At 46.5% G+C, this 21,400-nt stretch overlaps 1 protein-coding gene across 28 annotated transcripts in view, besides 10 other annotated features; it reads left to right on the top strand.

The window, feature by feature from the left end:
• The window catches only part of RAPGEF1 (Rap guanine nucleotide exchange factor 1), a 163,302-nt gene that overhangs the window by 50,779 nt on the left and 91,123 nt on the right, over positions 1 to 21,400 (top strand). For 13 of the 28 annotated variants that reach the window (XM_047423254.1, XM_024447521.2, XM_006717072.4 and 10 more), the window contains exon 1: positions 12,463 to 12,741. The exons of 13 other annotated variants lie outside the window; for them this stretch is intronic. In XM_047423254.1, coding sequence (XP_047279210.1) covers positions 12,663 to 12,741 — 79 coding nt within the window. In that variant the 5' untranslated portion in view covers positions 12,463 to 12,662. Of the gene's footprint in view, positions 1 to 12,462; positions 12,742 to 20,845; positions 21,132 to 21,400 lie in introns of those variants that run through there. 2 more of the 28 variants (XM_017014636.3, XM_017014635.3) reach the window with 1 other exon arrangement.
• Positions 5,356 to 5,956: an enhancer, noted in NCBI's record as "OCT4-NANOG hESC enhancer chr9:134558729-134559329 (GRCh37/hg19 assembly coordinates)". NCBI's record gives its function as "activates a minimal SCP1, AML or CMV promoter by ChIP-STARR-seq in naive H9 embryonic stem cells {active_cell/tissue: H9 hESC(naive)}" and the evidence as "EXISTENCE:reporter gene assay evidence [ECO:0000049][PMID:30033119]".
• Positions 10,377 to 10,456: an enhancer, noted in NCBI's record as "active region_29207". NCBI's record gives its function as "activates an Ori minimal core promoter by ATAC-STARR-seq in GM12878 lymphoblastoid cells {active_cell/tissue: GM12878}" and the evidence as "EXISTENCE:reporter gene assay evidence [ECO:0000049][PMID:35858748]".
• Positions 10,797 to 10,846: an enhancer, noted in NCBI's record as "active region_29206". NCBI's record gives its function as "activates an Ori minimal core promoter by ATAC-STARR-seq in GM12878 lymphoblastoid cells {active_cell/tissue: GM12878}" and the evidence as "EXISTENCE:reporter gene assay evidence [ECO:0000049][PMID:35858748]".
• Positions 18,889 to 19,008: an enhancer, noted in NCBI's record as "active region_29205". NCBI's record gives its function as "activates an Ori minimal core promoter by ATAC-STARR-seq in GM12878 lymphoblastoid cells {active_cell/tissue: GM12878}" and the evidence as "EXISTENCE:reporter gene assay evidence [ECO:0000049][PMID:35858748]".
• Positions 19,069 to 19,278: an enhancer, noted in NCBI's record as "active region_29204". NCBI's record gives its function as "activates an Ori minimal core promoter by ATAC-STARR-seq in GM12878 lymphoblastoid cells {active_cell/tissue: GM12878}" and the evidence as "EXISTENCE:reporter gene assay evidence [ECO:0000049][PMID:35858748]".
• Positions 19,309 to 19,388: an enhancer, noted in NCBI's record as "active region_29203". NCBI's record gives its function as "activates an Ori minimal core promoter by ATAC-STARR-seq in GM12878 lymphoblastoid cells {active_cell/tissue: GM12878}" and the evidence as "EXISTENCE:reporter gene assay evidence [ECO:0000049][PMID:35858748]".
• Positions 20,043 to 20,112: an enhancer, noted in NCBI's record as "active region_29202". NCBI's record gives its function as "activates an Ori minimal core promoter by ATAC-STARR-seq in GM12878 lymphoblastoid cells {active_cell/tissue: GM12878}" and the evidence as "EXISTENCE:reporter gene assay evidence [ECO:0000049][PMID:35858748]".
• Positions 20,143 to 20,252: an enhancer, noted in NCBI's record as "active region_29201". NCBI's record gives its function as "activates an Ori minimal core promoter by ATAC-STARR-seq in GM12878 lymphoblastoid cells {active_cell/tissue: GM12878}" and the evidence as "EXISTENCE:reporter gene assay evidence [ECO:0000049][PMID:35858748]".
• Positions 20,393 to 20,452: an enhancer, noted in NCBI's record as "active region_29200". NCBI's record gives its function as "activates an Ori minimal core promoter by ATAC-STARR-seq in GM12878 lymphoblastoid cells {active_cell/tissue: GM12878}" and the evidence as "EXISTENCE:reporter gene assay evidence [ECO:0000049][PMID:35858748]".
• Positions 20,873 to 20,922: an enhancer, noted in NCBI's record as "active region_29199". NCBI's record gives its function as "activates an Ori minimal core promoter by ATAC-STARR-seq in GM12878 lymphoblastoid cells {active_cell/tissue: GM12878}" and the evidence as "EXISTENCE:reporter gene assay evidence [ECO:0000049][PMID:35858748]".

The raw sequence follows: 21,400 nt of genomic DNA, 5'->3' as shown, positions 1-21,400 counted from the left end.
CCTGCCCAAAGACAGATTCTCAGAAGAACTCAGCTGTCATCAGTCCCTCCTCTGCCCCATCATCTTACATTATTTTATTTTTGTTGACAAACAAGACAGGTATAAAAAAAATCACAGAATCAAAGAAACAGAAGTTAAATATGATTCTTTATATTTCAAACCATTAATCTTTCCATTTTCTGTTCCATCACCCTAAGCAGTTGTTAGCCAGACAACCCTAAATCTGTCCTTCCAAAAAGATGACTCTTGGATGAAACGAGTTTAAAAATTGACATCTCAAAGGCATAAAATTAAACACCATTATTTGTCAAGACAAAGAAAGGGGTGAAGTGGGAATTCCAGTTAAGACACAGTGGTCCAAGGTGAAGCTTATTGTTTCCTTGTTTTTTATTTTTATTTTGAGACGAAGTTTCGTTCTATGGCCCAGGCTGGAGTGCAGTGGCACGATCTTGGCTCACTGCAACCTCCACCTCCCGGGTTCGAGTGATTCTCCTGCCTCAGCCTTCCGAGTAGCTGGGATTACACCACACCCAGCTAATTTTTTGTATTTTTGGTAGAGACAGAATTTCGCCATGTTGCCCAGGCTGGTCACGAACTCCTGGCCTCCCAAAGTGTTGGGATTACAGGGGTGAGCCACCACACCCAGCCACAGGCTTGTTATTTAGATTTGAGTCTTGCCTTCTTCATTGTAATAGTTTCTAGTGATTCAGGGTGCAGAGAGGCAGATCCCTTACAAAATGGAGATTTCCTTTATAGATGTAAATTTCTTACAGAGTTTCAAAGTAGCCAGCTGAGTGCCAGAAATGTAGGCCCTTGTACGTTTTATTTAGCAGTATAAAGTGAGTCAAGGATGCCACCAGGTTCCTGGCTTATGTTAATGGGTAGTTAACATCCACTGAGATAAGAAATACAGGACACTTGTTGCTGTTTATTTGGTTTATGTATAAACAGTGAATTGTGGTTCTTTTATTCAACACCAGAGTGTAAACCATTGACTGGAGGTGTTCACAGACTCGGAATAATTGACTTCAGTTCTTCCTGAAGTTCTTAACTTGTGGGATTTGGGGGCTTTTAAAGGGAGTGACTTGGAGGGACAATTCTCCACCTTGAGAGAGGTCTCCCTTTCATCTGGCACGGCATCTCCAGCATATCTCCTCTAAGCACCTCTGCCCAGGCAGGTAACTGTGCACGAACTAACCTTGGAAAGGTCAAGAGACCTGGCTGTGGCTCATTTTCCTTTCTTTTCTTGGGTACTTGGGCTCCTAATGAAAATGCTTCTCATTCAGAGGTTCCGGGAAGCCTCCATCCATGAGCAACTCACATGATTTACAGAAGAATTGCTATGCTGTGTATCTTCACGTGGGTAACACACTTGTTCCTCACAGCCCATAGGGTTTTGTCATTAAACTATTGAGACCCATGTGATGGTGGAGTATCAAGATTGACAGGTTAATTTCCCATTTATATAGAACATTATATGAAAATTGATTTTTTTAAGGCATGGGGGTGGAGGATCCTGGGATGTGTGGCGTGGTGAGAGAGAAGATTAAGCATTTAGTGTTTTCAGCTACATTTAAACTTGTCCTCCTTGGCACCAACCTAGGGGCTGCTCTGAGTTCTAAAGGAATCACAGGAGGCTGGTTGTACAAGTGGCTGCATTGCCTCCATGCGTTTCCTTTGCTTCTTCCCATTAAAAGCCAAGGACCACCTTACTCTTGAGGCATTTTAAACAATGAAATCTAAGGAAAACATGCTCAGTTGAGAACAGACTTTTGGGGAGGAGTGAATGGGAATTCTATGCAAGGCCGGGTGCGATGGCTCACGCCTGTAATCTCAGTACTGTGGGAGGCTGAGGCAGGCGGATCACTTGAGGCCAGGAGTTTGAGACCAGCCTGGCCAAGATGGTGAAACCCCGTCTCTACTAAAAATACAAAAAAAAATTATCCAGGGGTGGTGGTGCACGCTTGTAGTCCCAGCTACTTGGGAGGCTGAGGCAGGAGATTTGCTTGAACCTGGAAAGTGGAGGTTACAGTGAGCTGAGATCGTGCCGCTGCATTCAAGCGGGGAGGACAGGGCAAGACTCTGTTTTTAAAAATAAAACAAAAGAACAAAAAAACTGTATGCAAGTTATTTGATTGGCCACTCAGAAAGATTACTGATTGATTATGAATTGAATCTGTTGTCCAGGCTTGCATTCTCAAATTTTCCAGTATTGTCAAGAAGCCAGAGGCTGGTGTTGATTTGATTTAACATAACATTTGACTTAACATAACGGATCCTATTGGTAATTTTATTTCATTATCTTCGCGTGGTTTTGAACCTCAACACCTCAGCAGTCAACTTATTTTAGATCTTCCATTTCATCAGAACGCTATCATAGTTCAACTAAATAATTATAGTATGACGATGTAGTTACATTTAAGTACTGTGAATGTAAAACATTTGGGGCTGAGAAAAACATACACTGAAACCCGGTTTCTTACTTCATCAGCAGATGTTAATGAGGACTGTCTAAGTCTCTGGCACTGTGCTGGGCACTGAGCAATATAGAGGCTTTGCCTGCCTTTTCCAGGAGGCATCCTCTCACTGCCAGGTGGAAAACAAAGGCAGTGGATGTAACCTACAACACAGAGAGGTGAATGCTATGCAGAGAGCTCTGGCCTCATTACCCCGTCTAGGAGGTCAAGGAAGTCTGTGGGAGAAAAAAATTATTCAAACAGAGAGGGAACCCAGCATCTTGTGGACAGCCTGGATGGTGACTTTGTGTTGATTTCAGGCCAATTGGGCAGCTCCTTGTGTGGCTGCCCAGTTGTGTAGTGGAGCTGCATTCCATACAGGTGGGGGGTTGGGTCTGAAAAGTCCACACAGCACCAATTACCCATAGTCAAAATCACACAGAGAATCCTTGTCGGAGACCCACAGAGCCAGTTGTCTTCAGCATTGGAACAGAATGCTGTTTCTTAAAAGCAGGGATGGCAAATGGGCCAAATCCAGTTGGCGGTCTGTTTTTATAAATAAAGTTTTGTTGGAACACAGCCATACCCATTTAGTTACATATTGTTGGTGCTGCTTTCTTACCAAAGTGGCAGAGTTGAATATTTGCAACAGATTGTATGGCCCACGAAGTCCATTGTTTCGTATGTTGCCCTTCAAGGAAAGTTTGCTGCCCTCTGCTTTGGAGCAAATGAAGGAATTCGTTTTATATTCAGGTACTACGTTGTAAAAAGAAAATTGTTACCTTTAAACACCAGAATCGTATCAGTGAGGTGAGATATTCACACCCCAGAACGCATGAAGGAACTGAAGAAGCAGTCACCTCGCCTCTCCATCTGACCCTCACCTGGCATCATATGCTCTGACTAAATTGGAGAGTGATTTGCCTAAAATGTGTCTCCTTCCTCCTTGCCCTGCCCTGCCTCTCTGTTTGTCCAAATGCACGTAGCTGAATTCGCCTGAGTTTTCTCCATACTCCACTATATGCCCCTCTGCCAAGACCAGCTAGGTCGGGGAGACCCTAACCCAGCGGCGCTAGAGGAATTAAAGACACACACACAGAAATATAGAGGTGTGAAGTGGGAAATCAGGGGTCTCACAGCCTTCAGAGCTGAGAGCCCTGAACAGAGATTTACCCACGTGTTTATTAACAGCAAGCCAGTCATTAGCATTGTTTCCGTAGATATTAAATTAACTAAAAGTATCCCTTATGGGAAACGAAGGGATGGGCCAAATTAAAGGAATAGGTTGGGCTAGTTAACTGCAGCAGGAGCATGTCCTTATGGCACAGATCGCTCATGTTATTGTTTGTGGCTTAAGAATGCCTTTAAGCTGTTTTCCGCCCTGGGTGGGCCCCGTGTTCCTTGCCCTCATTCCCGTGAACCCACAACCTTCCAGCGTGGGCATTATGGCCATCATGAAAATGTCCCAGTGCTGCAGAGATTGTTTATGGCCAGTTTTGGGGCCAGTTTATGGCCAGATTTTGGGGGGCCTGCTCCCAACATGTCCGCCTTCTTTGATTTGCAAATCCATAAAAGCAAGGGCAGCTTTGTCGCGGTGAGCTACTTCTCGCAGGAGTCAGGATCCACATCTGCAGACTGTACAAAGACAACACAGATTAAAAGCACAATCATCATTGAAATCACAGAGCTTCCAAGTGTTTTTATCCATTTTAATGGGTTACTAGATAAATATGTCCAGTAAGTATAATTGTTCTCTGTGTCAGCCCTTGTTGAAGGAATACTCACGGCAGTGGTGATAACCTCTATCATAGCTACCATTAAATTACTTGTTGTGACTGGTTGTCCCGCTTTCCTCAGGTTTTCTTCCACCATCTGTGACAGCTTCTTGATCTGTCCCCAGGTGGGTGGCTGTGTTCGACGGGTGTTGCTCATGACAGTTGGGGTCCTCCTCAGCATCAGTCTCGACATGGCTGCAACTGAGGGGTCCTTGGGATCCTCCCGGAATCTCTTCCTCGGCATCTGGCTCATGATAAGGTTTCAGGTGTCTTGATGGTATCCAAATCGGCTGTTGATTTTGGGCTGGAGAAATACAAGCATAACCTCTACTCCAAGTTATTATTTTACCTATTTCCCAACTTTTTGTTATCGGATCTCTCCACTAAATCAGTTGTTCTGCTTCTGTCTTTGCAGCTGTTCTGTAGATGCTGTTCAGCTGCTGATAACATCTGGCCTTTGGGCAGGCTCAAAAAATTTAAAGTTAATAATGCTAGATTCAGTTGTATCTGCGGTGTTCCATAATCTCTATTTCCCCCTTTCTGCTTTTGCAACTGCTGTTTTAGGGAAAGATTCATTCTTTCCACTATGGCTTGTCCTTGAGAATTGTATGGGATACTAGTAATATCTTTAATATTCCACATAGAGAAAAATGTAGCTAGAGCTTGGCTAGGATAGCCTGGGGCATTATTGTTTTAATAGAAGCTGGAATGCCCATCACCGCAAAACACTGCAAAAGGTGATGTTTAACACAGGCAGAAGACTCTCCTGATTGGCATGTAGCCCAGACAAAGTGAGAAAAGGTGTCCACACATACATGTACATAAGCTAGTCTCCCAAACAAGGGAACATGTGTGACATCCATTTGCCAAAGACAGTTAGGTTCCAGTCCTCGAGGGTTAACTCCTCCTGTAAAAGATGAAGAATGTACCATTTGGCAAGTTGGGCATCACTGGACAATAGCTTTAGCTTCTTTCCAGGTAATGCTGTATCTGCGTTTGAGACCAGAGGCACTAACATGGGTTAAATTGTGAAAGTGTCTAGCATTAGATATTTCATTAGCAACTAGGCGATCGGCCATTTGATTCCCTTCAGTCAAAGGTCCTGGAAGAAGTGTACGAGCCCTAATGTGAGTGATGTAAAAAGGGTGCCTTCTACTTCTAACTGCTGTTTGCAGTTGGGTAGATAAAGTCATCAGTTGTTCATCTGTATGAAATCATAACTGAGCATTTTCAATTAACTGTGTGGAATGAACCATGTATGAAGAATCAGAAACCACATTAATAGGCATATCAAAAGCAGTCAATACCTCAATTACAGCTACAAGCTCCGCTTTTTGAGCTGAAATATAGGGCATCTGGAAATCTTTACTTTTTGATCCAGAATAAAGCTTTACCATTACTAGTCCCATCTGTAAAACAATGAAAACGCTTAGCAGGCTGCAGGTTGTTTACTGCAGGAATTGTAAATGCAAACCGTTCACAGTCTTGCTCAGCCAAAGGGATAGTGAAGAAACAGTCTTTTAAATCTATGGCTATTAAAGGCCAATTTTTTGGAATTATAACAGGAGAAGGCAATCCTGGCTGTAATGCTCCCATAGGTTGTATAACTGAATTGATGGCTCTTAAGTCAGTTAACATTCTCCATTTACCTGATTTCTTCTTAATTACGAGAACTAGAGAATTCCAAGGGGAAAATGTTGGAGGAAGTATGTGCCCATTTTCTAGTTGTTCAGTAACTAATTTCTCTAAAGCCTCCAGTTTCTCTTTACTTAGCGGCCATTGTTCTATCCAAATTGGCTTATCTGTGAACCATTTTAAAGATATAGGTTCCGGAGGCTTAACAATGGCCACCATCAAAAATTATTTCCTAATCTTTGGCGGAACTTTGTTTTTCCACTTGAAGCAGTTCTTTCAAACCTTGCAAATTTTTTTCTAGTCCCATACCAGGGACATGCCCCAATTCATGCATTGTATGTTGACTTTGAGGACTATATAATTGTTCTGGAATTAGAACTTGTGCTCCCCATTGTTGTAATAAATCTCTCCCCCATAAATTTATAGGTACAGAAGTTATAATTGGTTGAATAGCCCCAGGTCGTCCATCGGGCCCTTCACAATGCAAAATATAACTACTTTGATATATTTCAGCGGCTTTACCAACTCCAAATATGTTACATTGAGCGGGTTGAATTGGCCTCACGGACGGCCAGTGCTGTAGAGAAATGATTGAAATGTCCACTCCTGTATCTACCAAACCTTTAAATTTGTTTCCCTGAATAGTTATTTCACAGGTAGGATGTTTATCAGTAATTTGACTTACCCAATAAGCTGCTTTGCCTTGTTTATTTGTGCTTCCAAATCCTCCTTTTCATTTAATTTCACTTTTCCCCATTCCCCCATACGGCACAATCAGGAGCTGTGCTATGCACTCTCCTGGCTCTGCTGTCCAGGGAACAGAAGTAGTTACAACAATTTGAATTTCCGCATTGTAATCTGAATCAATGACTCCTGTATGTATTCGCACCCCTTTTAAACTTAAAACTAGACCTTCCTAGAAGTAATCATATTGTCCCCACTGGCAAGGGTCCACAGACTCCTGTTGGAACCTTTTGCGGAGGTTCCCCAGGCAGAAGGCTCACAGCTTTTGTGCAGCATAAATCTACTGACAGACATTGTACGGAGGTGATGGAATGGCCTGAGCTGGAAATGCCCCGGTTTAGAACGGGGCCCGGGACGGGCCCCTCATGGCGTTTCCCGAAATCGGGTTCCCTTCTATATCAAACTTAGAGTGACACTGATTAGCCCAATGTTTTCCTTTTTTACATTTTGGACATATTTCAGGCTCAGCAGTTTTCTTTTTTCCCCTATCTGGCAGCCTGACTCGCTTATTTTTTCTACATTCTTTTTTAGTATGGCCATGCTTCCCACAGTTAAAACAAGCTGCAGGAAATGGAGTATTTCCTTTATCCACTCTCAGTCTTGCCATTGCCTGTGCTAGCAGAGTAGCTTTATGCAGATTACTTCCGATACCATTACAGGCCTTGATAATCAACTAAATGCGCTTTCCCTCTGATAGGTCGCAGAGCAGCCTGGCAGTCGGGATTAGCATTGTCGAAAGCTAATAACTGCAACACTATATCCTGAGCAGCCGAATCTGCAGTCATCTTTTTAAGAGACTCCCGTAACCGAGCTATAAAATCAACGTATGGTTCTTTGGATCCCTGTTTTTGTAGCACTAAAGGAAGGGTATTGTTCTCCACTTGAAGTGATTTTTTCCCCAGCTCTAATGCACACTCCTCTAAGCTGTTCTATGGCATCATCCGGCATGATGAGTTGTGCATCTAAAGCAGCCCAGCCGCCGACCCCCAAAAGCTGGTGCGCAGTTATATTAATTCGAGGTTGGGCCTGGGCATTGCGAGCAGCCTGAATGGAAGCTTCATCTGCCCACCAAGTTTTAAATTGTAAGAACTGAGCAGGAGTTAGACAAGCTCGAGTAAGAGCATCCCAGTCAGTAGGAATCATCCGACTGGAAACAGCAACATTCTTTAACAGTCCCATTACAAAAGGAGAACCTGGTCCATACTGATTTATAGCTTGTTTAAATTCTTTGAGTAATTTAAAATGAAAAGGCTCAAATGTAGCTATAATATTTCCCTGTTGATCTGGGGGTGTATTCTAACAGGGAACTGCCAAGCCTCTAAATCACTCCCTCGTCTAGCTTGCTGAATTCCTGCCTGAATAGAATTAAGAGTGGTCGCTCGAGGTGCTGCTTGAACAGTCACTGGGGCAACTAATTTTCGCCCAGTGTCCTCCGGAAAAGAAAGATCTGGAGGATCATTTTCTTCAAAATAATAATGAGGGGGTGCAGAGGGGTAGGGATGAACCTCTCCCTCCTTTGCTGCTTTAGCTTTAGCTGGTAAATAAACATGCTCTGTAACCTCTTTTGTTACCTAGCTATACTCTCCTTCCTCCTCATCATCGGTGTGAAAAAGTTCCAAGGTGGGACGAACCACACCCCCACACTTGTCCTATTGTTACCCTGATGCTTCTGAGCTCCCCTTCTTACTCACCAGGGGGATTGCTTTGAGAGTACTCGGGTGTCCTCCAGCTAGTTCCGCATTCTCCAGCCATCACTCTGGCGACCCCTCCACCTGGATTCGAGCCCCCACGATGGACGCTACTTGCCGAGACCAGCTCGGTCCGCGAGACCCTAACCCAGAGGCGCTAGAGGAATTAAAGACACACACACAGAAATATAGAGGTGTGAAGTGGGAAATCAGGGGTCTCACAGTCTTCAGAGCTGAGAGCCCTGAACAGAGATTTACCCACGTGTTTATTAACAGCAAGCCAGTCATTAGCATTGTTTCTATAGATACTAAATTAGCTAAAGGTATCCCTTATGGGAAACAAAGGGATGGGCCAAATTAAAGGAATAGGTTGGGCTAGTTAACTGCAGCAGGAGCATGTCCTTAAGGCACAGATCTCTCATGCTATTGTTCGTGGCTTAAGAATGCCTTTAGTGGTTTTCTGCCCTGGGTGGGCCAGGTGTTCCTTGCCCTCATTCCCGTAAACCCACAACCTTCCAGCGTGGGCATTATGGCCATCATGAACATGTCACAGTGCTGCAGAGATTCCGTTTATGACCAGTTTTGGGGCCAATTTATGGCCAGATTTTGGGGGGCCTGCTCCCAACACTCCTCTCCTCCTTCAATTGCAGTGGACAGGCTGATGAAAAAAGAGCAGAGCCAGGCTTAATAATGTGGATGAGGCACTTCTGCCAATGGAAAGCTAAAATGATGTCGTGATTCAGTAGAAAAAAGTGGTAAGACAATGAGTTGTCATTGTGACACACAGTTAAGCATATTGAACCCCAATATAACTAACTCTCTACACTGGATTCACATTGGAACTGACTGTGCAGTCTCAAGAAGACATTGTCCTTATTGTCCATCAGTGTGCACTGTTAATCAAAATTTGGGGATGGGAGTTTTAGTTGCGTTTAGTTATAAATGTGCTTTGATTTTATAGTTGTAAAGGAGCTAGATGCGTATGGCAGACAGACTTTAAGGTGACCCCTAGGATTCTTGCCTCCTGGAGTTGACGCCTTTGTCTCATTGTCTCACCTGGAGTTGGATGTGGCCTGTGACTCGCTTCCCACTTCTAACTCCTCTTGCCAGCTGACTCCCTCTGGGGCCATTCTTCCTGGCTAGCTTTGAGGAAGAGGCCCCTGTGGCAGGGAGCTGAAGGTGGCCTCCTGCCTATATCCAACAAGAAGCTGGGGACCTTAGTCCTACAGCTCCAAGGAAATCAGTTCTTTTGCCCACACCCCGAGTGGGCAACTTGAATGAAGACCCTTCCCTGGCGGAGTCCCCGCTGCGTAGTACCCTCATTGCAGCCTTTCAGGGACCCAGCTAAACTGTGCGTGGACCCGGACCCCTGACCCACAGAAGCTGGTAGAGGATAAATGTGTGTTGGAAGCCACTAAGTTTGTGTACTTCATTATGCGGCAATACGAAACATTTCAGGACTTACACAAGTTGTTACTGGTACTTATTTAATGTTATAAAAATCTGAGCCAAGTCAGATCACTTTAGGATGGGAACATCTGAATCACAGCCTTGGTGAGCTTCTAATCCACCGTTCCCTTTTTCTTCCCATCAGGCAAAGGCAAAAGTGGCTCCTGAGGTCCTTTTTGTAGCACTGACAGGTTTCCTTGGTCATAGTGGAAGAGAGGGGCATCCCACATCATTTGGCCCAGTGTTCTTTTATGGAAGGACACATGGAGGACAGGGGCTGGCCCCTTAGGCTTGTCTTCCCTGAGGTCAGCTGCAGCTTCCAAGGAGGTAGCATCTTGAGACATTTATAATCTATCCTTTGTACAGCTGCTTGTGGCCCCCCCCTTGTCACATAATGAGTTCGCAGTTGGGATTTCCTCGTGTGAGTTTCCAGCACCCTAGGGCCATATTTGTCCTAGGATTCTCCTCATCATTTCCCCCCACCCCCAGTCACTGCTGCCTCTTAGCCTTTGCTTCTCCGGGCTGAGGAATTCCTGCATTTTTAATCTGTCCTGCTCCTGCTGGCCTGTTTTGTCTAGCTACTGCCCTTCAAAACCATATCCAGTTTCACTCATAAAAAGCAGGGGGAAATGGTCAAACCAAACCCTCCAGCCTCCCCTGTGTAGTCCTGGCTCTTGTTTGATTGTTGGTTCTCTGAAGAAAGGTGCTCTGAGGAGGAAGAGGGCTGCCTGTGCCCCCGGCACCCCCCATCATGGAGGCTGGCCTCCTGGTGTGTTGTTTGATTGGGTGTCCTTTTGCACCCCTGAGGTCCTGCTAGTACCTGCAGTGCTGACAGTCCCTGTGGGCACGGGTGTGTGTCAGGCCTTAGTCATCAGCACTTAACCGCTCTGAGCTGCAAACATTGGGCCTCAGAGCTCAGTGTTGATGTGATCACCGTCTCACTTCTGCCAAAAATAGATGGGGAGGAACATATTTCTGTTAAGCTCTTGAGGGTTACAGCTGGATTAAGTTAGAGCTCCTGAAAACAGCACACTGGCTTATACTAGTGGTTTAGATTCTCTAAGAAATGTGTATTGATATAAAGTTATCAGACTATTGATTTTTTGTAGAGTGAAAATATTAAATTGTTATTTGAAGAACATCATAGATCTTGTAAAAGCAAAGTTGAAGACCAGATTCAAAGTTACTTTACATTCTTCTTGAAATTCCTTCTAGAATGTTGTGCTAGGAAAAGTCCCTCTTCTGTTGAGTTTATTTACTTTCTTTTAATGGACAAAACCTATCTTATTTACCTTTTTACCTTTGCCACTAGGAAACTTAGAACCAAACGAATACAACTCAGTTGCAGTAAATCTTGAGTTCTAAGCTTCTGACTCTGTTTGCTTTTAAAGTGTCTCATTTGCTGTGTGCTTAGTGTTTTCTAAATAAATACCTACCATTAGGGGAGGAATTGCTTTGTAACTTTGCACATTAGCTCCGTGGTTTGCGTTGACCTCGATTCTAAGCAGAAACAGCTGTGAGTATGTTCTATTAATTATTAGGTGAGTTGTTTTAACTAGTGCAGACAAGAGCTTGTTGACCTGTGCTCTGGGTGAGAACTCTGATTTCTGCTTCTACTCAAAAGGGTCAAATCCCATGATGTAGTTTTGACTTAGGAGAATTTAGTTCTGGCCTGGAGTGAATCTTTGTGGGATTGATGCAGACCAAGACTCGTGTTAAGGCCGAGCTCTGCAGCAGCTGGCCGCTTGTTTGTCTTCTGAGCCTGTTTCATTTGCCTTCCCTGGTCTGCTTGAGCAGAGGAGAGAGGAAGAAAAGCTGTTGGCAGATGTTTTTAGTAAGACCCTTAAGCGTAAGGGAGGAAGCTAATTTTAGTCCTGTTTTTAATATTATGGTAGTTTGGTTGCGTCTTTCCTCTTAGGGTAGAGCATTTTAGCTTTTGTTTTTGCTTTTGCATTTCCTGTGTATATATCCTGAAGCAAAATGGACTGCTAAAAATGTCACTTGGTGTTTGTTATTTTGTGCCTAGAATAACATTCAAGACCCGTGAGCACTGTGAGTCACTAAAATAGTTTTAGGAGAAAGGAATGTTGTCTGTGTTACTCTTTTCTATATTTCCTTCTAGAAATTTTCCAGTTGATTCCTGTGCTTATGTTAATTGGACATCCATAATCTCTTTCTTTTATCATCAGCAATACAGTAACATTGTATTTGTTAGCACATTGCATCTCTACTTGCATGCAGAGCTCTTTAATTTTAAAAGTACAGTAAGTTTTGGAAGAAGATCATGGCTAAAGAGGCAAGTTGCTGGAAAATACAGTTGTGCTGCTTACTCAGTGAACAACCAGCCAACAAGCTGCGTGCACGTTTATTGTGATGAGAACTTAAACACAAAGCAGACGTGTAAGTTCCCCTGGTGTCCCCAGTTCCTAGCACATAGTAGAAACTTTGTAAATATTTGTTTGGGGTAAATGAAGTCAGTAGCACTACAGATAGGAGGCCGTAAGGAAGGATGGTTTCTAAAACAATAAAAAGGGACATCAGCTAGGCCAGTGGTCTTCCAACTTACTGTGTATCAGAATCACCTGGAGAGCTTGTTAAAACAGATTGCTGGGCCTACCCCCAGAGTGTCTGCTTCTGTAGGTGTGGCATGGGCCCAAGAATTTGCATTTCTAAGAAGTCTCTTGGTGAAGCTGCCGTCGTTGTTGGTTCAGGACCACACTTTGAGAACCGCTGACTAGGCTAATGCCTGTGGATGAGAAAAGAGGCTTAGAGAAATTATGTTTTGCCTAATTGACAAAACCAATTAGTGGCTGAAACAACACAGAAGGCCAGGTTTGTCCTCTCACTTCCTAACTTGAGGACAGAGAAATATATTCTGATGTCCCTAACTGGCAGTCTGCTATGATAGTGACCACATGCCCATTTCTTTCTTGGGATTTCGTCCCAGCCTGACAACCTTGGAACAGAACAAGAGGACAGGAGGTGTCGTTCCAGGTATGTGTTAGCTGCACCAGCCACTCTTTGTGGCATCTGCTACCCATCAAAGGACGTGGTTGGGCTGGGAGCCAAGTTAAGTTTTCTCATTGTTTGGCAGTTGTGTCCCCAGATTTTCTTGCCCATCTTGGAGATCTTAGCACAGCCGGGGTGCTTGGGGCTCAGCTGCCTTGAAGGGGACTCAGTCCCCCACACAGGTGATTCCCATGTCCCATGGTGGGCACTGAGATTGGGGTGAGGGGAGCACACTTGAGGGACCCTTCACTTCCTCACAGCCCTTGCCCCTTTCCTCAGGGTGCGCTGGGAAGAACCCCCAGCGGCTGCCCATGCCCACCTCAGAAGCTGTTCAGTTTGGGCAGAAGGAGGTTATTGTGGCCACCTTCTGTCCACGGTTTTCTTTTACATCCTTTCCATTGCACTGTTGGTGCCCACCTCCCCATTCTAAAAGACATGGCCACTGGCTCCACTTAAGGAAGGCACTTTATTGTCATGATTAAGACTGTGAGGCCAGCCTATAATCCCAGCACTTTGAGAGGCCAAGGTGGAAGGATCACTTGAGCCCAGGAGTTCAAGGCTGTAGTGAGCTACGACCATGCCACTACACTCCAGCCTGGGCCACAGGGCGAGATTAAAAAAAAAAAAAAGACTGAGTTTTTGTCAAACTGAGCAGTTCGAGTTCAGGCTGTTTCCCAATCATGCTGTGACTTTGCACCTAGTTCTTTTCTCTGAGCTTTAGTTTCTTCATCTGCAAAATGGCAATTAATGTCTGCCTGTCAGGGCTGGCGTATAGTAAGTGCTCAGTAAATTACAGGCTATCTTTTGAGGAGCAAGAAGTAGACTAGCTCCTGACTAACCCTTGCCTTAAATTCCTCTTCTCTACCTTCATTCCCTGGGGGCTTTCCTGGTACAGGGGCAGGATAATGGTGTGTGCTTACTTTGGATTTTGCCTTGTGGCAATTTGCTGTAAGACATGGTTGGGGAATTCATTTTTATCTAGACATCAGGACCACCAGTACATTGGTAATTCGTCTCTTAGTGGAAGGTGGCTTGTGGGTGTTTGGCTTCTCAGCCTGTTGGGGACCATTTTTAGATTTCTGAATTAATCCTTTCTCATGGCCGGTGAAGAAAAAAACACATGGTGAACCCTGTGGACGGCACGTCCCGGCACCCGCAGGAAGCTGCCGGGCTCCCTGCTCCCGCAGAGCCCTCCTCCACAGCCTCGCCCAGCCCCTGGCTCTTGCCCTCCCTGAGTCAGGTCACCTGTTCAGCTGACCCTGCTGGGCTGGGGCCTTCCAGATGTGCTCATCCCTCTGCTGGGAGCATTTTCCCCTCGGTCCGTGCCTCATCCCCACGAGAAATACAGCGCAAATCCAGCCAAGTGCAGCAAATCTAGCCAAGTGCAGCAAATCTCACCAGCTTCTTTTTAAGCCAGTTTCCTCTTGGTGGCAAGCACAGTTGCTACCACCCCCCACCACCCTCTGTGGAAAGGGCTATGACGCTCGCCTTCTCTCTGCTCCCTCCCTCCCAGCTGCTCCTCCAGAACCCCCCAGTGTCCCTGCACATCCCAGGAGTCTGCTTCTGGGGAACCGGACCAAGGTTTAAGCATTCACCTTGGGGAGGCCACCCCCACCCCTCTCTCCAGACTTGGTTAGGGGTCTTTGGCCTCACTTGTGTAGCACTTGTCCCCTGACCTCGGTAGCGATGCTTCAGGTCTGCCCTCCCCGCGCCTCCACAGGGTTTCTTGTTCTCTGAGGAGTAGGGGACAGGACAGAGGCTTTTCCTCAGCAGGCAGCCAGCTCAGATTGGACTTTCCTTCTAGGGATCCCTCTTCAGGTTGGGTTGGTGGGAAGGCCGTCTGAACTGGAGCAGGTGGGCTGTGTCAGGGAGGCGGTCACCGGACTGGACTCTAGCCAGCGGTTCCCACCTCCACGCGCCCACCGCCCAAGCAGCCAGAGCTCCAGCCCTAGCCGCCCAAAACAATGCAGGGCAACGGTTTTCTCCTGAGCCAAGTGTGGAGACCTAGATTTCCTTGCACCTGAGGGAGAGGGACCACAGTGGTGGCTTCTCACGCCTTGGGGAACCGGACCAGGGCCTGTTCATAACACAGAGATCTGAGCTCCTTCTCAAGTCAGGCTGACTGCTTTGGGTAAGAGGGCAGAATTTTAAAGCAAAACCGTGCTCTGCAGGGCGCCTATTTCAGCATTTTCAGACTGGTCTTAACGTAGTTGGTTCATTGCCCTCAGAAATGAATGTTGAAAGCGGTAAGCCCCATTTGAAGCACCCCCGATTTTAACAAGCTTCAGGACACATAGTTCTGTGCTAATATTTTTGTTTTGATGAAAAATTTAAAAACACTGCTCTCAACCCCCACCACAAAGAACACGAAAATATTATTATAAAGAAACTAGATATATCCCAATCCCTGCTCTGCAGTGGTGGTTCAATTTGTAAAGCAAAAGTTAGAACCAAAAATGCTTTCAAAGGTGGCTTCGAACAATGTTCATAACTCTCTGCTCGCATCATTCTGCTTTTTACAGAGTTTAGAGACCCATTTATAGATTCAGTCCACGGATTGTCATGCATTTGCAAAAACGTCTACTAGCTCTCCGAGTTCCATATTTTTATTATCAAGGGACCCTTAGATCTGAGGACATGGGGACTGGCAGACACCAGCTGCAGAACGGAACCGTCTTTTAGGAAACAGAGGCCACGATGAGTACATGATGGGCCCCATCTACCTAGTGGAAAATGAAGCGGCATGTTTTTCTTCACGGTCACTGGTGGCTCTTGGCAATTTCTGACTCAGCACCATTGGACTTTCTCCTGGCCCCTCCTTTCCTCTCTGTTGGGTGGGGCGGCCGGGGGGGTGCTTTTGTAGCCCTCCACAGATGGAGTTGATAGGAATGTCCTGCTTTCTAACCATCTGCAGAGGACCTGTGCTTTGGGTCACAGGGTCCTCAGCAAATTCCTTTCCCTTCCAGTTGATTTACAGTTGGTTCCAATTGGTTTACCTGTTTAGAAAATTCTAAGTCCATCTTAAATGTAAAAGGTGGTTATCATCTTAGAATGTGCTCAAAGAACTTTAAAGATAACTGCTTTCCACTGAGGACACAGTTCATCTACAGGACAGGGTCAGCAGTGGAGTTGGGACCCCAACCTCTAGCTTTTGGGCCTGCTCCTAGCAGGCCAGGTGGCATGGTGGCTTTTCATCCAGCCCTGATTTGGGACACACTGATGTTTCAGCCCCTCCCTCTTAGGAATTCTGATTTGAAAATCACTGTATCTACTCTGTATTCCTATGAGAGAGACTAAAAGATTTTGTTCAGATTTGCTTTCTTCTGATTGCAAATAGGAACATGTATGGTTTTTTTGGGTGCACTTTTTCAGACCAGACGCCAGGTCATTCTGACCCACCCCACTCCTCTCCTGAGAATCACTGACTTAGTGCAGTTATTTGAGGGCAAAAAGCACTTTTTTTCCCAGCACAAAGTAGGTGCTAAACAAAGTCTACAGCCAAATATAAACAAGCAAGCCCTGAAGCAGAAGGAAGAGCAGGGCTCAGTGGTGGCTTTGGCCCCCTGGTTCTTATGTCTGTCACTCCACACACGCAGTAGGGCTTCAGGAGATACTGGCTGACTGGTGCTCTGAGCCTTTTACCAGAAGAGCCTGATTCAGCTAAATTTCCTTGGTAGGGGTGACTGCTTAGTTGGAATTTGGTGGCTGGAACTGGTGGTCACCCCCTCTTACCCTACACGGACCTTTTCCAGGTTCAGCATTTACAGATTTGTTTCCCAACCAGGAGGGGCTTATCCTAAGGAATGTTCTGATCTGAGATGAGATTAGAACTTCCCCTGCTGTCGAAGTCAAAGGGTCCCATCTGCCTGTCACTTCCCATGTGCCCTGGGCTGTGCTGGGCTAGTCATCAGCCCCTCCCCGTCTTTGGCCCAAGATGTGGAAAATCTTAATAGCTCAACCGGTTCCCTCAGACCTTTGTCTTCTGAAACAGTGCTTCTCACACTCCAGCACTGCAGGGCCACCTGTTGAAGCCCAGTGTCCTGGGTCCCTTCCCCAGAGACCCCAGTTCATCAGATTCTTAGGTTTGCACCAGGGCTAAAGAGCTGGCATCCAGACCCCCTCCCATGTGACACTGATGCCGTCATCTGATGCCCAGTCCCTTTTCAGCTGAACGAAGGATGAAGACACAATGTTGTCCTAAAATTGATTCAGTGAAATAGCAAGTAGTGAAAAAGTAAAATAGAATTTAAATCTTTAGATTTTTGACATATTTTGTGTACTTGGTTGTAATATAAAATACGTTTCTTACCGGGGTCAAAAAGCTTATTAGCCTCTGCCTTAGCTACTTCTCCCTCTCTGAAATGCCCACCTGTGCCTTTGCACCTGTGCTTGGTCCTTAGTTCCAGGCTCAGGAGGGGAAGCTAACCAGTGTCTTGGCAACTTTTGGCTATGGGCTAGGTTTGCGGTCTTCACCACCATACATGACCCCTAACCTACAGCAGCACCTATTGGCCCAGTGAGGGGGTTTCTCCACTCCACACTCCAGGGAGAAGGGTCTTCACATGTTTCAAGTTGGTTGTGATTAAGTTTCGTGAAACGATATTAGCCTTAATACATGCATGGCCTCTGAGATTTTCTGTTTCATGTTTTCATCTATGACATTGATTTTGGGAAGTGCTAAATGGGTTGGTTGTGCATCGTAAACATCAACATTGGGAGTAATCCACAAATCCACCCCTCAAGTGGCCAGGACCAGTTCCCACAACTCTCCAGGGCACCTGTTCTCCCCCAGCTCAACTGCCCTGCACTTTCCACAGCCAGATCCTGCACCGTCTGCCAGTCTCGGTTCCAGGGCCTCCATTCATGAACTTTTCCTGCATCTCTCACAAAGTGACCCCCACATGTCCTCAGCATTTGACTCACCTCACAGTGTGCCATAGCCCTGGGTTGGAGGCTTGACTTTCTTGTCAGCTTATAGACCACCTGAGTGCAGAGCCTGCATTCCAGTGCCCCCAGAACCTCTGTGGCAGCAAAGGCCCCACGTTGTTGGGCTGGTTGGAGGCGCTCAGCCACATTGCAACCCCAGTTTTGTGGGCGGGCCCAGAACTGGGACTTGGTTTTTAACTTTGTTTCAAGGGGAAGGTGTGTTCTGATTCCAACAACTGACTTGGAAAAGACCGATCTCTGCTTTGCCTCTCCACCGTGTGGCCCGTGCCTCCTCCCTGGCGGGCTGAGATGTAGGCCTTCAGACAGACGGCAGGAGGCTGCCTCCTGTGGAGGATTTGGGCCTTTAAAATAGAACTTCAATTCCAGGAGACTTAGAGGATACAGCTGCTGAGGGAGAGCAATGAAAAATGAGATTCCCTCTTGAAAAACGATCACTATTTCCTGCTCTGAGGATTCTAGAGTAAAGCAACTGAGTTTTTGAAGTTGGGTTGCCCCTGGTTTTTCCTAGGGGCATTCCCCGGACAGTGTGGGGTTTAGAGAGTGTTAAATGAGAGAGGTAATTTGGAGGGAGTTAGAGGAATGCTATTTGGCTGAGTTCAAGATCCAGGGAAGGGGGATGGCTGTCTTTTCAAAACACTTGGTTGAGGAGCCTCTTTAATCAGTATGGCGAGTTTTGTAACTGATCACAGACTGCTAAGGCATAAAGGCAGTGAGAAAGGGAGGACTTTCTGACTTAGGAAGATCCCCTTCTCCGCTTTCTTGCCAAATGTTGGCAATTCCAGGCATCACTGAAATATATGTTCTTCCCCAACCCATTATTTTTGGGGTTGTTTAAAAATAGTGTCTTGGTTGCACCCATAATCCCACCTCCCAAGTCGAGAGAGCCAGTGTATAACTTTGGCCTCTTCCTTGAGGCCGGGAGACTGTCCCGAGGTTTTGCGCTGAGAGTATTTTTAGCCCAGGTGCTAGCACAGCCGGGAGGTCTTTGATGTGCGTCTGCTATGAACCAGCCATCTTGGTCCTGGGCTTTTCCAGAAGGGTGTAATTCACTTTTACAAGCAGTCCTGGCCTGGAAGTCTTTTCTTCTCCTCTTACAGTGACTTACTCCCCTGGTGATCAAGGTTGTGAACACACTTAATAAACAGCTTATTTGCTAGTCTTTGGCTTCAAAAGGGGGAAGAGGAGCCTACACCAAGATTGTGGCATCTGCGTCAGAAGCGAGGGTGGGGACAGGATGGTGGTGATCCTAGCCAAGCCCAGTGTCCCACGCTGAGTGGGTGCTGACTTAAGTGGAACACTGACCCAGAGGAAATAAGAAAAGTCCTCTAGGGCCAAGAGCAGACGTGAGCCCTCCTTCCTCTGAACTTGAATTCTGCTTTGTTTGAACAATCCTTAGGGTACTTACTCCTCTCTCTACTAAATTAGGAGACCGTGTGGCTGGTGTGTGAAGCAGAACTGATTCAAATCCAGGGTCTGTCACTTACTCCTCGGCCTCACTCTCCCTGTCTGTGGCATGAAGACAGTGGTACCTGTATTGGAGGGTCACTTCGAGGCTTCAGTGAGATGAGGCCTGTTGAGTGCCTGCGGTGGTGCTGGGTGCTCACTGCACAAGAAGTGGTCCTAGTCATTGCTGTGTAGCCATTGTCATCGCTGCCAGCTCCACGTGGGCAGGGCCTTGTGTTACTCAGCACCTGATACAACTCCCTGTACATAGTGGGGGCCAATACATTTGACTGGAAATGAAGTGGATTGAATTTTAGGCTCTAACCCAATGAAATTCTGTCTGTGCTTAAACCAGGAGGACTTCTGATTTTCCCAGAACCTCAAGGGCCCTCAGGAGCCTCCCGTGGGGGTTAGGCCAGTAACTCTGAAGTAAGAGTCAGCTGGTATCAGTAGCACCAGGGTGGGCTCTTCTATCCCAGCCCTCTGCATGCTTGGGTGTCATGTCAGAACATGAGGAGGAGAAAGGGCTGAGGGAGGCGAGTTGACGCTTTCTCCTCCAGTTCGGAGGAAGGAGCCTGAACTGCCCTCGTTCAGGGGCAGGGGGGCCTGGGTGGTAAACTGGGCCTCCTCCTGACCCCAGCACCTTGCAAGTGCTTTGCGTGTAAATGTTTATGGAGTGAAGGGGTGGATGAGTGAGGATGCCACGCAGTGTCTGACCTGCACTGTGCAGTGCAGCCTGCTTCCCTAAGGTGACAGGGAAGGACTTTTGAGGTGACTCCTGTCCCTTCACTGTCTTCTTTCTCTGCCCATGAGCTCCTTCTGCAGTGTCCCAAGCTGCTAGGGATTGTGGCTGCCAGCTCCTTCCCCTGTTGTCTGGGAGATAAATACATGAATGTATGCTTACTGACGAATGAAAATGCTGTTTTTCCTCTGGAGGCCCAGAGGGTGGCCTGTCAAACTGTGAGTTCTCAGAGTCTCTGAGCAGGGCTAGCGCAGCAGAGGTGGGGGCCGTCTGCTGCCACCTCCTGCCTGCAGGCCCATGGGGCTCCATCACCACGACCCAGCCCCAGCTAGACAGGCCTTCCTGCCCCCAGACTGGCTGCTTTGCTGGTGGCACTGCACTGGAGAGCAGGAGGCTGCGGCCCCGGCAGAGCACTGTTGGAGTGCTGAGATGGCATGCTGCCTCCACCTGCCCCTCCTAGGCTGGCAGCCATCCTAACAGGCAGGTTCCTCTGAGCCACGGAGGCTGCCCCAAACAACTCCACCTAAAAGACAAAGGCCGGGGGAGGGCTCTGCCTCCAGATGATGAGATGTACCCTGGCCTCTGCTCTGTGGTTTACTCAGAATAAACTGTTATTTTACCATCACTCTTTTTTTCATTTTGCCTCTGAAAATAAAGCTGAGAAATGACTAATTCACATCTCAGGAAGCCTATGAAGTCTGTGGTTTTCATCTCTAGATCAATGCCTAACAGTAATGGAAAAGAAACGCTTCCCTGGGAGTAGGCCACCGTGGGGACAGGCCGCCTTGAGTGGTTCAGGACACCGGCTAGGGCTGCAGTCACCTTGTCTGTGAAAATGGGAGGGGAGGGGAGGTTTAAACTTAACCCTGTGACCTTGGCCAAGGTCCATGACTACCGTGTGACTCGGTCTCGTCATCTGTTTAGTGGTAATAAGAATACCTCCCCTCTGATGTTAGCATGAGGACCAGGCATATGCCAAGAGCTCCCCACATATTAGAAGCCCCACTCCTGGCTTCTAAGGGGATTTCTTAAATTGTAAGTTTTTTAAAAATCTAAATTTTAATATCTAATTTAAAAATTTCTGAGAGGAAGTTTAAAAACAGCCGCTGCTGATTTAACCACTTGATTGGGCTCCGGGAGGGAAGCCGCTCTGAGTCTCAGAGGCGTCCCTTCCATCCCCTCAAGCAGCATCTGTGGTTTATAAGAGGAGCGAGTCTGGGAATTCTCTTCACGTCTCTGGCAGGTAAGGGAGGGGCTCCCTGGACATCATCTCCATGCTTTGTTCACGCGGAAAAGTTTACCTGACGAGGGCTGTGGGTTCTGTTTAAATCCTAGGAGATGCTTAAGTTATTAGAATTTTTCTCTATTTTTAAAGCCAGTTGTGTTAAGAAATAACAGCTGTCCACTGAAGATGGTGGCATTTATCCCAAAAAGGAGTATATTTTTGAACGGTCTGGTGGCCACAGATGACATTTATGAATGTTAACTAAGTGCCAGGACTGGGCTTAGTGA

This window comes from Homo sapiens, chromosome 9 (genome assembly GCF_000001405.40).
Source record: "Homo sapiens chromosome 9, GRCh38.p14 Primary Assembly".
Lineage (NCBI taxonomy): Eukaryota > Metazoa > Chordata > Mammalia > Primates > Hominidae > Homo > Homo sapiens.
This window is presented reverse-complemented; position numbering and strand designations above follow the sequence as displayed.